This window comes from Homo sapiens, chromosome 11 (genome assembly GCF_000001405.40).
Source record: "Homo sapiens chromosome 11, GRCh38.p14 Primary Assembly".
NCBI classification, from domain to species: domain Eukaryota; kingdom Metazoa; phylum Chordata; class Mammalia; order Primates; family Hominidae; genus Homo; species Homo sapiens.
Window position 1 is genome coordinate 86,443,485 of NC_000011.10, and position 13,875 is coordinate 86,457,359.

Consider the following 13,875-nt stretch of genomic DNA (forward strand, 5'->3'; position numbering starts at 1 on the left):
TTCCAGGTTCAGAGCTTGCCTCTGAGGGTTAAGCCTCATCTGCCACAGGGCCTGATCCTCCAGGCTCAGATGCTGGAGTTTGTTCAGCCTTGCAAATCAGCCTCTTTAATGTGGTGGTTCTGAATCTACTCCCACTGAGGCTTCTGGTGTTAAATTTAGACTTGGGAAATGCCACTGGTGCTCTCTGAGAACTGTGTGTCTCAGAAGTGACAAGGCTAAGAAGTTGGTCTCCCCTCAATGTTTTCAGATATTAGGGAAGTGGGCCTCCCTCTCTACCTCCTTCTCACACTTCCATCTTTCTTTTCCATTCATTCAGTCATACATTCACTGTGCTCTACTATATCTTTCAAAACAGAGAGAAGGCCAAGTCTGTCTCCTAATTTCAGACCTTTATATGGCTCCTTCAAACTCCTTCCCATGGTGTCCATACAAGGCACTTCATCACTGGGCCCTCCTTTCCTCTTCAGCCTCACTTTTAGTGTCTAGACTCTGTGCTAGGTGCTGAGGAGCCATATAAGGAAGGATTCTATGGTGGAGAAGCCATAGTCTTTTCTCTTATGGAGACTGGTGTCAGTGGACAAGTAACAAATGATTATAGCAATTATAGTGGGTGAGTGCAATGAGAGGGGACATACAGGCATGGAGGATGGCAGGATCCTGTCTACCATGTATAGGAAAGGCTTCTCAGAAGTGTCACAGGCTGATACCTGAAGGACAAAGCATGAATTAGGGGAGAGAGAATGGCCCATGCAAATGCTGGGAGGTGAGAGAGAGCATGGACAAGAGATTGAAAACAGCACATTGGTTAGGTCGATGTTAGGGAGACACCAAAAGTGAGGTTGGAGAGGAAAGGAGGGCCTGGTGATGAAGTGCCTTGTATGGAAATCATGGGAAGGAGTTTGGACTTTATCCTGTATGCACCAAGGAGCCATACGAAGGTCTGAAATTAGGGGAGAGACTTGACCTGACCTATGTTTTGAAGGATTCTCTTTGTGAAGGTATAGAAGATGGATTGATAAGAGAGAAGCAAGATTTCCATGGCTAGATATGCATCTAGAAAAGTTATCCTGAGAAGAGATATATCATGGTATGTGTGATCACATCTAAGACGGTAGGCACTGGCAATGCTCTTCAGCAGGGAGTCAAGTTGTCTGGAGCCATCCTGGGCTCACAAGACCAGCGATCTTGAGCAAGTGACTTAAACTCACATATGAGTAAGAATTTTACCTATTTTACAGAGTTGTTACAATGAAAGGAGGTGGTGAATGCACATCTCCTTAAAGTCTATATTAATTTTCCATGGGAAAATCAAATTCAACTTAAATTATCTTCACTAAAAGTACCCTTTTCAGAAATATAACTTGCCAGGCCTTTGAAGACCATAATGTGAGCTCCTATAGGGGAGGGACCTTATCTTGCTCACAGCAGGTGATAATAAGTAGATCCAGGAGAGGTTCCTGTGTAATTGATGGACACTGTTCATGAAATGTTGGAGCTGAACTGTCTCACAGCACTGGAGGTAGTGGGGCAGATGTGTGGATGTCCCATGGTATTATATAGGCAGGACTGTAGCAATTGTGTTTTTACTCAACAGAGGACTTTGCTTTCAGGCTGACTTCAAGCAGAAAGTGACTCTTTCCATCCAATGGGGACTTCACACAGCTCTGCCCACAGCTACAGGACAAGAACACCCATCATAGCAATGAGAAGAAAGACAAACAGAGTACTCAGACAAGAGGAACAGAGAACTGTAACACAAAGTCATAAGTAGTGTGCGTGGGGCTGGGGGAAGCTGAAAAGCCTTTGGAAGACATTATTTGCACAGCCTTGGAGAGCCAGGGCTCAAAGACTAGACATAGTAAGAAGGGACCTGGTGCATGAGGTAGCTCCCTGTGGGACTCACAGAAGTGGATCCAGACAGGGCTGTGTGGAAGCCATACCCATGTCTCATTGGTTTCAGGCTTTCACCAGTGCCTCAGTGAGAAGGAAATGCAGAAGGATGTTAGAAGTCACAGGAGAGCCTTTGGAGCTTGTTACGTGTAAATATGTTTAATATTTGTATATGGCTTTGATTAGCTTAACCTCTCAACAGAGACATTTCTATGCCTTGCTTTTGTCAGAGTGAGGATAAATGTCAAGTGCCTGGCACTTGGTAACTACCTGGTAATTTCAGCCACTGTAACTGTTATCAATAACCATGAGTGTGAATATAGGCTGTCATTCTTAATGGATTCTTTCATGGTTTTCATCATGTCTAGTAAAGAACTCTTTTGTGCGCTTATCTAGTAAGATACCTGGAATAGGTACATCTCCAATACTTCATATCAGTGCTCAAGATCTGGGTCCTCCAAGGAGAAAAAAACAAGTATGACACCCACCCCCTCCCTTACAGAAAGCTGTCCTAGTGGGGCTTACTACCGCCAGTTACCCCAGTGATTTGGTTAAGGCCTGTGGCTGGAAGAATCCATCACCTATCATGGTCCACAAGCCCTCAGTTTCAGGTGGCTTTGATGGCATCTCTTCTGTCTAGGCATCTAGATGGCATTGCTAGGACGCAGGGGGCAGTATGAGGCATGTCTCCTCCTCTGTCAGTGCCTCTTGCTAATACCCTTCACCACTATTCCCCATTCCCCCTCAAAAGCCCCATGTGTGATTGAAGAAGTCAAGCTTCAAGGTGGCCATGAGAGATGCTTGAGGTTTAAGCACTTTGGGAATCCACTGGCAATGTTGGGGCAGATGGGCAGAAGAGATAAGAGAGATCTGGTATAGGACCCAGTGTCAACCCACAGACCCTACTGCAAGCATTTGAGGGAGCAAGGACAGTGATACCTCTGCTGTCAGGAGGAAGATCTCATCTGGGATGTGCCGGATCCCGCCGGCGATGACTCCCAGTGCCACCCCGGGGAACACGTAAGCATTGTTTCCCTGCCCAGGAATGAAGGTCTTGCCATCTTCCAGAGTCACACTCTTAAAAGGACTTCCACTGGCAAAAATCCCTCGGCCCTGGAGGCAGGAAGAAAACCAGAGATGAACTTGGAGATTGGTTTGGGGTAATAATAGTGGCCTATTCTTATCTTCCAAATGTTGGACCCTTCTTCATCCTCTCCCAAACGCCCAGCACTGTGCTGAGAACATGGCAGGTATTTAAAGCACATTTGTCATTTGACCAGAAAGCTCAGCCCTCACCTGTTATCTAGCAGCCAAGAAACTGCTGAAAGGTGATGGGGTTCACAGCACCATTTTTGTCACCTCCTGGTGGGGCCAACCCAGGACATGACAGGATGTGGCCTAGAGTCTACAAGTGCCTCAGGTTTTGGGTGCTGGTCAAAGCTCTGTGTTATTTAGGGTGAACCTTGAGCAGCATAGCACAAATGTAAGAACTTGGGCTTTGGAGTCAGACCTGGGTTTGACAGCCAGCTCCACTCCTTATTAGCTCTTTGACCTTGGGCATGTTACTTCATCTTTCTGAAATTCAGTTTGCTCATCAGCGATGTAGGAGTATTTTTCACCCTCATGAGGTTACTCATTGTAATTGTTACTATGTCCTCTCAGCCGGGGGAAGGAAGGACTCCCCGCTGACCTCGGTGACCCGGTAGCACTTCTCAGCCGTGCACTCGGCCTTGCTGGTGGGGTTGCTCAGGGCAAAGATGATAGGGCGCTCGTGGAAGGAGGCCATGTCCCTCAGAATCTGCTCCGTGAAGGCTCCTGCGATGGCAGCAACACCTACAGGGAAAAGGCGGGTAGTGGGGATGCCTGCTCTCTATAAACAACCCATTCCTCTTCTGCTGGTGGTGGTGGGGGAACTAGGAATACCATGAAAGACTCGGTCTTGGGCCCAGCATCTGCCACAAGGACTGAAGGAGCAGAAGGGAAAATGATCTTCCTGCTTGAGCTGCCTGAGACCTCCTTTTCATCTCTAAGGGACCACTGGTCCACCTCAGGTCCCTGCCAGTTAAGCTGCTCCTGTGAAGGCATTCCTGGGCATTTCCATGGAGAGTGAGCTGCTCCTCAGGACACAGGGAGATGCCAGGGTCTGCCTTGGGAGAGAAATGCCCATCTCATTGTGGTTAGAGAGACCAGGCCAGGTGTGGTGGCTCATGCCTGCAATCCTAGCACTTTGGGAGGCTGGGGGGCAGTGGGGTGGGTACAGATCACCTGAGGTCAGGAGTTTGAGACCAGCCTGGCCAAAATGGCGAAAACCTGTCTCTACTAAAAATACAAAAATTAGCCAGGCATGGTGGCGGGCACCTATAATGCCAGCTACTTGGGAGGCTGAGGCAGGAGAATCACTTGAACCCAGGGGGCGGAGGTTGCAGTGAGCTGAGATCACACCACTGCACTCCAGCCTGGACAAAACAGCTAAACTCTGTCAAAAAAAAAAAAAAAAAAAAGACAGAGAGAAAGAGAGAGAGAGACAGACTAGCCCTGCACTTACTCACTGCATTGTATATTTCTGCATCACTGAGCCCTAAATCTGGTGCCTTAGTTTTGTGGTTTCTATACAATAGTCACTCAATAAAAGTTTGTGGCATTGAATTGCACATGGGATAGGGGAAAGAGCTGTTTCCATGGGTTACTTAGGCTTCCTAGCTGAGCCTCTGTCTCTCCATCTGCAAGTCAAGAGGGTTAGCTGGGCTGGGTAGTGGGTACCCTCCCTCCTCCTACCTATGATGGCTGTGGGCTTCACCAGCCTCACCACCTCCTCCAGGGAGTTGACTTCAGGATGGTCTTGGGCAAACATCTCCTTTTCATGGTTCAGGTGGCTCCTCCCCTACAGGAAAAGGAACACAGAGCAGTTGTGGTCGTGATGGCCTGTTGGGTAGGAGTACAGATGCATTTGGAAACTCTGAGAGCGTTTCCTGCTGAGCCCCATGCTTTGGTTTGAGCTGTCAGATGTTTTGGGGCCCATCTTCTTGACTACATTTCCTGGCAGAACCTATGGTGGGACATAAGTGTGAGAGTGGGGTGTGTGTGTGTGTGCATGTTTCTTTAACCCAAACCACATATGGAGAATCCATAAAGAATTTATTTGAGCTGTTAGGATTATGGCTTCCTGGGCCAGGACAGAAAGGCTTTTGGGCAATGCCTGAGTCTCACCAAGACCCTTTGGCCCAAGGCATCCAGCACCAAGCTCAGTTGAGGGATGGGGACCTGTGCCACCCAGGGTCAGGGAGCTAATTTGAATATGCTTATAAGAGCCATTAATTCCCCTGTCAATAATACTAAACTAAGCTCCAGGAAGGTCTTAGAATGACAGGCCATGCCCAACCAGCTCCAGTTCCTTACATTTCTTCAAATGGAAGTTGGTAGGTGACAGGCTGGCATAAGTGCTGGTAAATGGGTTCAGATGCTTTTGATGACTGCTTTGGATTAGCTGGCCTCATAGGAACCAGTGCAAAGATGTCAGCTTTGAGAGCTCCTTGGCTAGGGTTGATGGAATGAGAAAAATGATGTTGAAAGATGGATAAGAGGGAAGAGTGGCTGTCTCTGGCAGCTTACACCTGTGGCCAGATTATGCTCTGGAAAGACGTAGGGGTGGGTGGGAAGAGGAATCTCCAAGGCTAAGTTCCTTTCAGCAGAAATCTGGCCCCATATGGAACAATAGGAAGCTCAGTTCTGCTGAGGATCTCTGCCATTCTTGGTCAATGTCCTTATGTACTTCCTCTGTTCCCATCTCTGCCATAATTTTTCATCTCTCACTGACATTCTATGTTAGTGAAATTCTGGGAATTAAAGCACTGAGTGTAGCTCTAATGGAGGGGTCCTTCAGTTGTGTCTCTCAACACGTGCTAGCTGGAAGCTGGACTGTTTCTCTCTCATTCATGCTTTCATTCATGCCTCACACATTAATTATGCACTTACCATGTGCCAGGCATTGATATCAAGACTAGTCTAGTGGGGAAACTGGAAAGGAACAACTTCTCTACAGTGTGGTAAGTACAATGTATGGAGCATAGATGCAGGAAATAAGCTTTTTGGAGGGGGTAACATTTGAGCACTATCAGAAGATAAGGAGGAAACTGGGAAGGGGTTAAGGGTTGAGAGTTGGCATGTGGAAAAACAGAGGAGAGCAATTCAGGCAGAACAAGATGTGTAAAGATGTGGAAGACAGAGAGCAGGCTGCTTTTGGAAACTATGATTTAATGTGGCTGGAGGCTAGTGCAAGTCAGGAAGTGGTGGGGGACAAGACTAGAAGGGGCACACATCTACACACTTGTACAAACTTTTGGACAGAAGCAATTAAGGCTACTTTGGGATGAATCTTTTGCTTTGGAGCTTAGGCCATTGCCCTCATTTTGCTCTCTATTCTGTTTGAGCAGTTGACTTCTTGGAGACCTCTTCCAGTCCAGTTCCTGGGAGCTATAAGGTGTCAGGAAACCTCCAGGTCTCCAGACTGACAGTACCTTGACAATGAGCCCTTTAGAGTCCACCATCCAGATCTTTCTTGTGGCCTCTGCCTTCGGTACACCTTCTTTCTCTAGGGCCATGACAAGGAGGTGGGCAATGCCCATAGCTGCCTGGAAGGTACCATAGGGTAGATGTTCAGACACAGGGCAAACAGCTGCTGAACATTTATCTGATGTCTTGCCATAAGGACCCCCTTTTCTTTCCCCCACCTCAATGACTCCCAGGAGGCCCAATTAAGTCCTTGCCTTGAGACACCCAATTGTCAGAGCCTAGGCAGCTGCAATGATCACAATATGTCTGTGCTGCTTCCTCTTTTCAGAACCCCAGAATGCCTCCCTTTTTTGGTATGCTTCCACCCATTCTTATTCTCTTCCTGGAGCAACCAAAGAAACCCTCAATGCCACATACCTCGCCTGCACCTTGGAAAACAAACACGTGATTGGAAAGCTTGTTCTTGGTGATTCGCAGAGCAGCCAAGATCCCTGCCACAGCAACGGAGGCTGTGCCTGAAACAGAGTGGCCTGAGATCAACCTCTGGCCACAGGCCGCCAGCTCCCAAGAGAAGACCCTTGGCAGAGTTCCCCACATCTGGGACTGTGGAGGAACAGGCAACTTTTCTTAGCCCTTATGCCCTGTAGGCATGCAAGTTTTGGTGCAAATCCATGCTCTCTTTTGCAGATAACTTTTTTGTTGTTGAAGTTGAGAAACAGCTCCTGATTTGTTACTTGACCCCATAAGATGGGATCAGATAGCCAGGTGCTGCTACCATCATCATTCATAAAGAAAATGACAAGGATAAATATAATGGAAGACAAAAAGAAGCATGAGCCTCATAGAATTATATAAGGGCTAAATGGATAAAAACATTTAAAAAAATGAGAACACAACCTGACCATGAGGCATTAAATGACCATATGGCCTGAGCTGCCCATCTTATCTACCAAGTCATAAGGTTGGCTGTGTCTGGTCGCACACCATCGTCAAATGGCTTGAGTATGTCTGGAAGGGACAAGTAAGTTGTATAAGTAGGTGGCTCAGATTCATTTGAGCCACTGCTACATGACTTCTTCTCCCTGAATCCACATCTAAGGCCTCACTGGGGATTCCTTAAGAGCAGCTGACCAAGGAGAAAAAACTTGGGCTTGGTTTACAAGTTGTTGTGAATAAATGTTGGCACCAACTAGAAGTGTAAGGTGGCAGCTTCACAGCCCCAATAAAAGGTAATGGTGAAGGACAGTGGACATGACTTCAAGTGGTAAATTTAGTTGTATACTTTGGTCCAGGGGATGGTTAGCACTACATTGATTCATGAGCAGTTGCTAATGGTTTAGCTGGATGATCAGGGACTTGGAAAGAACAAAATAGCAAGACTGGTGATAAGGAGGTCTGGGGAAAAGGTAGGTGGATGGACCTCTTGGGATAGGTACAGAGTAAGAGGATATTTGTGCCCCATGTGAGAGTTTATCAAAGGACATGATGAAAACAGTCTTTCAATAATCAGGTGGACAAAATGGCATGACCTATGTATGTTAGACAGCATCTTTCTTTAGTCACCCAGGGTTTGCTTAACGGACTTATGCATAAAACAGCCATGGTGGTAAGGATGGAGGCTATGCATGGGCTTCCTCTTACCAAGCTGGCCTGATACTGTTACTGTTGAATGATTAACCTGTCAAACACAGAGAACAATGCTGAGCTCCTTATGGGCACCATTCCCTGGGGGGGACCATCCACCTGGTGGCAAGATGATTGCAATGGATTACTCCCATCATGGACAGGAAAGAAATCTGTCCTAACTGGAGCAGATATACATTCTGGATATGGATTTCTTTCCTCGTCTGTAATGCTTCTGCCAGCACCATCATCTATGGATGTTTGGAATACCTATTTGCCATCCAGATATATTACAGACAGCAAGGCTTTTAATCAAGGACTTTAATTCACAGTAAAAGATGGGCAGCAATATGCTCATGCCTATGAAATTCACTGGTCTTAACATGTACTCAACCACTCAGGAGCAGCTGGCTTAGTAGATCAGTAGAATGGCCTACTGAAGAATTACCTAAGACTTAAGTAGAAGCAACACCTTATGGAGATAATGAGCTTCTGTTTTATGGGATGCAATGTATTATGACTTAGCAAGCAAGACATTGTGTTTTTCTCTCATAGCCAAAATGTATGGGTCTAGAAATCGTGGGGTGGAAATGGGAGTGGCTCCTCTTACCATTTCACCTAATAACCCACGTACAGAATTTTTGCTTCCTGTCTCTTTAATTTTGTGCTCTACTGGATTGGAGGTCTTAGTTGCCAAGAAGGAAATACTTCCATTAGGATTTACAACATGGTTCTATTGAATTTGGAGTTGAAACAGCTCCCTGGCCAGCTGGGGCTCTTCATGCCACTAAATCAGTGGGCAAAGAAGGGGATTACTTTTCTGGCTGTTGTGATTCATCCTGATAATCAAAGGGACAGTGAGGACAGGGAGGACTATGTCTGAAGCTTAGGGGAGTCTTCTAGGGGCGTATCTTCATATTTCTATGCTCAATAGTAAATATTAATAAATATATTGCAAGTAAGGATATTCAGGACTATGGAGGATTCAGATCCTTCAGAAATGAAGGTTTGGGTCACTCTACTGGGTAAAGAATCCCAGCCACCTGAGGTCCTGTCTGAGGGCAAGAAAACATGGAATGGAAGGTTGAGGAAGAAATTTATAAAAATCATCTTTGACTTCATGACTGGTTACAGAAACAAGGAATGTAGCAGCCAGGCATATTTTTCTTCCTTGATCATAATGTGACTATATATAATGGTACACATGGGCTAATTTCTTCTCCCTTCTCCTCCCTATTATTTTATATAAGTTCTGTTGGAGGTTAATTCCACATGTTAGTCTTTAGATAACAGAGTTTTCAAATGTGACTGAATTTTATGAGCTATTAATTCTGCTTAGAGGTGGATACAGTGACTGTCTTCCAGAGATGACTAAAATGTCTGTTGGGACATTGTCTATCCCCATGTTGGAGAAAAGGTGAGAATGTCTTCATTTGTTGGAAAAATAGTTGAATGTTGTGAGGCATTTTGTTAGAGGTTTTGTTTTTGTTTTTGTTTTTGTTTTTAATTTCAGACAGAATCTCACTCGGTCGCCCAGGCTGGAGTGCAATGGTGTGATCTCGGCTCACTGCAACCTCTGCCTCCTGGATTCAGGCAATTCTCCTGGCTCAGCCTCCTGAGTAGCTGGGATTACAGGCACCCACCACCATGCCCAGCTAATTTTTTGTATTTTTAGTAGAGACAACGTTTTGGCGTGTTGGCCAGGCTGGTCTCGAACTCCTGACCTCAGGTGATCTGCCTGCCTTGACCTCCGAAAGTGCTGGGATTACAGGCGTTAGCCACCACACCTGGCCAGAGTTGTTTTTGTTGTGTGGAAGTACACATGTGCCAGACAGTGTATATGGATGCTGGGTAGCCAGAAGGATGGACTGTACCAATTATTGGGTAATTGTTTATTAGCTTCTTTACACTGCTTTGTCTGCAAACCACTTTTCAGCTTTGCCAACTTGCTCTATGCTGGGCTCTGCCAATAGTAGGTGCTAGAGGGAGACAAAGGCTAGATGAGGGGGATAATATGCTTCCCCCCCACCACCCCAGCATCATCCATCTTGTTAGGATTGCAAGGTAAAATGTAGGACACTTTGTAAAATTTGAATTTTAGATAAACAACAAGATTTTTTTAAGTATAAGTATGTCCTATGCAATATGAGCATAAATACACTAAAAATTATTTGTTTCTAACACCAAAATTTAACTGAGTGTCCTGCATTTTGGTTTTGCTAAATCTGGCAGCCCCACAGCCTTAGTTCTTCAACTCCATGGCAGCAGTTTGTTCCTGAAGCAGAAGTTGAACCCGGTTTGCAGTTTGGCTGTCACTGAGAGAACTAGTCTCATAGCTGCCACTCAGTGACACCAACGCCACTAACTGCCACCTCCTCTTTCCTTTGTTCCCTTAGCCTCAGAAGTTGTAGCAGATCCTTAGTGTTTCTTTTTTGGCTTTTGAATTCTTTAATAGACAATTAACATTTTAAAAAATATTAAGTGTTCTCTATTAAAGCAAGTGGTATAGACTCTGATACAGAGAGCTCACAATAAAGTAATCACAATCAGCAACACTCCACGATGGTGAAACCAAAACAAAACAAAGCAAAAGGAAATGAAAGTAGGACTATTTATGGCTTACTACATTTGGATAATTTAAAAAATTGTTGTCATCTATGGCTGGTGAGGAAGGAATGAAAAGTAAAATGTTCCAATATACTTTGTGTTTTAAAGTGCTACAATCTTTAGTGAGAACTGTTTCCCCATCTAGAGCAAAGGCATAAAATATTTTTGCCCTTTGACCTTATACTTCTACTTTTGAGAATCTCTATATAGAAAAGTCCAAAATGTATATACTAGGATGTTTATGACAGTGTTATTTATAATACAGAATGCCTGGAAATAACCTACACATCTAACAAAGGAGTAATGATTAAGTAAAGTAGCCAGTGTAGACACAGTAGACTGTTTTATAGCTATTAAAAATGATCATCATGAATATTATGCAGCAACATGGAAAATGCTGTGAAGCTAGTCACTAACATCAGATATTGTTCCAAGTACTTTATATGTCTTAACATGAAGACAGTTATTCATTTAATCCTCATTATTGCCATCCTCATTTTACAGATTGGGAAAATAAGGTATGGTTTGCTGAATTGTACAAGATCATATAACAGAGCCAGGATGTGAATCCAGGGAATCAAGCTCTAGGGCCTGTGTGCTTAAGCACTAACCTATGTTCCATTGAGTTGGCTGGAAGGAAGAGAACATTAAATAGTATACATTTATCACACACATAGAATCCAGAAGGAACTTACAAAATACTAATGGTTGCAGGGTGGGAGTATGAGTGAATTTTCTATATTCTCTGTTTCTAGTTTTCCAGGTGGCTTATTTTTAGCTAGCTCTAGGGTGGGCCTTCTCCTAGATTTATACTTGGCTCAGTGGCTGAGATAGGGGGTACAGCAAACAGTTGGTGGCCAATAAGTGCACATTCATCATTGTGGACATCAGAAGGCGGGACTCTATGCAGGATCATACTTCTCAGAAGATGGGGTGCAGGCACCCCTGTCTTCACACAGCTGTGGCCTAGAGGGAGTGCTGAACTGTTGGCAGTGTCACAGAGACAGGGCTAAGGATACTGGGACTTCCTAACATCCTTCCCATGGTCTGCAAAGTACACAGTGTGCACCCTCTGAGGGCCTACAAAGTGACAGGCACCATGCTAGGCACTGTCGAAGACAGATGAATCAAACATGATCCCTGCCATCAGAGAACTCCCAGTTTACTAAAACTTGGGCACAAAACAGTAGAACACAGTGGGTAGTCAGAGATCACTGGAAATTGTTACATTCATTTATTTTTTGAGCATCAATTATGAACCAGGCTCAGGTACTGAGGATACCATGGTAACAAAATAGACCAAGCTCATTTCTGTTTGTAAGGAAAGAAATTACTAAATGATTACAAGTGTGATGGCTTTTATAAAACAGTTGTTCATGACATACTTTTTGTTAGTTTATGTACAGAAAAGTATGTTATCAGTATCAACCTACCTCTGCAGTGCCTCCCCGTGTACTCCATGTACCAGTAGCTTTATTCATTGTTCCCTACACATATCATGCATGTTTATACTTAGGTACATTTCCCCTGCTATTCTACCTATCTAGAAGACCATTTTGCAGTTCATTATTCCTTAAGACTGCCCAAATGATCAGCAAGACATTCCTTGCTACCCCAGGCATCCTTAACCATGCCTCCTTTTCCCATATCTACTTTTTTATCTAACCTGAATGAAGCTGGACTATATCATGGTCAGGCTCAGCACTGTACTGCATTCAAAAGAAACACCAAGCTGACATCCAAGGAAGTATCAACAAGCAGTTTAAATAAGTATTTAAATCACTTAAAGAAAGGGCGAGGAGAATTGCATTGTATGACCCTCTTCTGAAATCCCCAAATCCCCTTTGTCCTTAATTTTCTCCAAAGTCCACTTATTATGTGGCACTCCCTATTTTCTCTGCCTCCCTCCAAGTAACTCCATACTTCTTACTCTCCGCCCATAAAACTCTCTTTCATTTCAGTTCTACGGAGTCAGAATTTGTATTTAAAAAGATCTCCAGATGATTTGTATGCCATTCCAGTTTGAGATGCACTGAACTAGATGGCCTCTCTAGGTGAGGTACTAGTTTCCTGCCATTGGCTAGCGGGAGTTTTCTGCTCATCGGAGTCTGTTTCAGGACAGCCTTTTGCCTCCCTGAAAGGAGGGGTTGCGCAAAGCATTTGCCACCAGATGGCGCCAAAGGTATTCCATCAGAGATGATCCCGCAGACACTACACTCTGGATGGGTCTTTTTCTTTTTGGGTGTCAACCGTCTTCTGGGGTTATTTGCAGGTTGAATAACTGGGCTTCCTCACAGAAATTCGGTGCTGGATGGGGATTGGAGATCATGGCATTTAACAGTTGTACAGATGAGGAAATTGACAGAGAAAGGTGGCTTGGCCCTGTCAGTCACCCAAAGCAAGGAAACCTGGGGGTTTCCTTCCCAGGTTTGCTTCCATCCCTTCATGATCTCTGCTGCTCAGACAGCCCTTCCTGACTATAGTTGAAGGCAGCAGGAGAGGTGTTATGGGGTTTCTCTGGGGAAGGACGGAGCAGGGTGGTAGCAGAGGCAGAGGGAAGTGAACTTAGGCAGTAGATGTCAACATTCAGCTGTACCTCTGGAAGGGGAGGGGAGCTCAGAACAATGGGAAATCTGATGGGAAAGAGTCACACATTACAATAAAAGGATGCAAGGTCAGCTGCCATTTATTGATCACTCTTACTGTGGCCTTGGCTCTGTGCTGTGTGCTTACCAGCACAGGATTTGCTCAATTAATCTTCCCAACAACTCCATGAAGTAGGGACTACTGTGCTCCTATTTTTTGCCCTTAAAAGTGGAGAGTGACGCTCAAGGGAAATGGAACTAATCAGGACAGAACTTCTGAATCCTTTCACCACCAAGTCTTCAGACCCTCTGCCTCCAATGTCCAAGTACTTGCTTTTCCCCCTGTTACCATCGATGCCTCCCTGCTTCTAGCTAAAGCACCACTTGTCTAATGGATCCCATCATTTTTGCCTACTTGTCCCATTATTCCCACTCCTATTTCCTGCATATTCAATTTTGCCCTCTCTACTGGATCATTCTCATCAGCATACAAATACACTGTAAAACTTCCATCTTTAAAAGGCCCTCCCTTGGTCCTATATGTCCCACCCTATTTCTTACTCTCCTTTATAGGCAAACTCTTCTAGAGAGCTGAATATATTAACTGCATCTAGTTCCTTCCTCCTTGGTCCCCATGAAACCCAGTCCAATCAAATGACTG

The 13,875-nt window shown here is 44.8% G+C and overlaps 1 protein-coding gene across 18 annotated transcripts in view, besides 1 other annotated feature; it reads right to left on the reverse strand.

The window, feature by feature from the left end:
- The window catches only part of ME3 (malic enzyme 3), a 237,687-nt gene that overhangs the window by 8,555 nt on the left and 215,257 nt on the right, over positions 1-13,875 (reverse strand). For 9 of the 18 annotated variants that reach the window (NR_172888.1, NR_172889.1, NM_001395868.1 and 6 more), the window contains 5 exons: positions 6,817-6,914; positions 6,405-6,518; positions 4,666-4,771; positions 3,581-3,723; positions 2,830-3,003 (listed from right to left, as the gene is read on the reverse strand). Coding sequence is in view for 8 of the 18 variants with exons in the window: in NM_001395868.1 (NP_001382797.1) it covers positions 2,830-3,003; positions 3,581-3,723; positions 4,666-4,771; positions 6,405-6,518; positions 6,817-6,914 (635 nt within the window). In the remaining 10 variants the exon portion in view is untranslated. Of the gene's footprint in view, positions 1-2,829; positions 3,004-3,400; positions 3,724-4,665; positions 4,772-6,404; positions 6,519-6,816; positions 7,408-13,875 lie in introns of those variants that run through there. The other 9 variants (NR_147828.2, NR_147829.2, XR_949761.4 and 6 more) reach the window with 7 other exon arrangements.
- Positions 4,204-4,417: a silencer, noted in NCBI's record as "fragment chr11:86158730-86158943 (GRCh37/hg19 assembly coordinates)". NCBI's record gives its function as "represses an EF-1alpha promoter that drives an FKBP-Casp9 reporter gene in an ReSE screen in K562 erythroleukemia cells {active_cell/tissue: K562}" and the evidence as "EXISTENCE:reporter gene assay evidence [ECO:0000049][PMID:32094911]".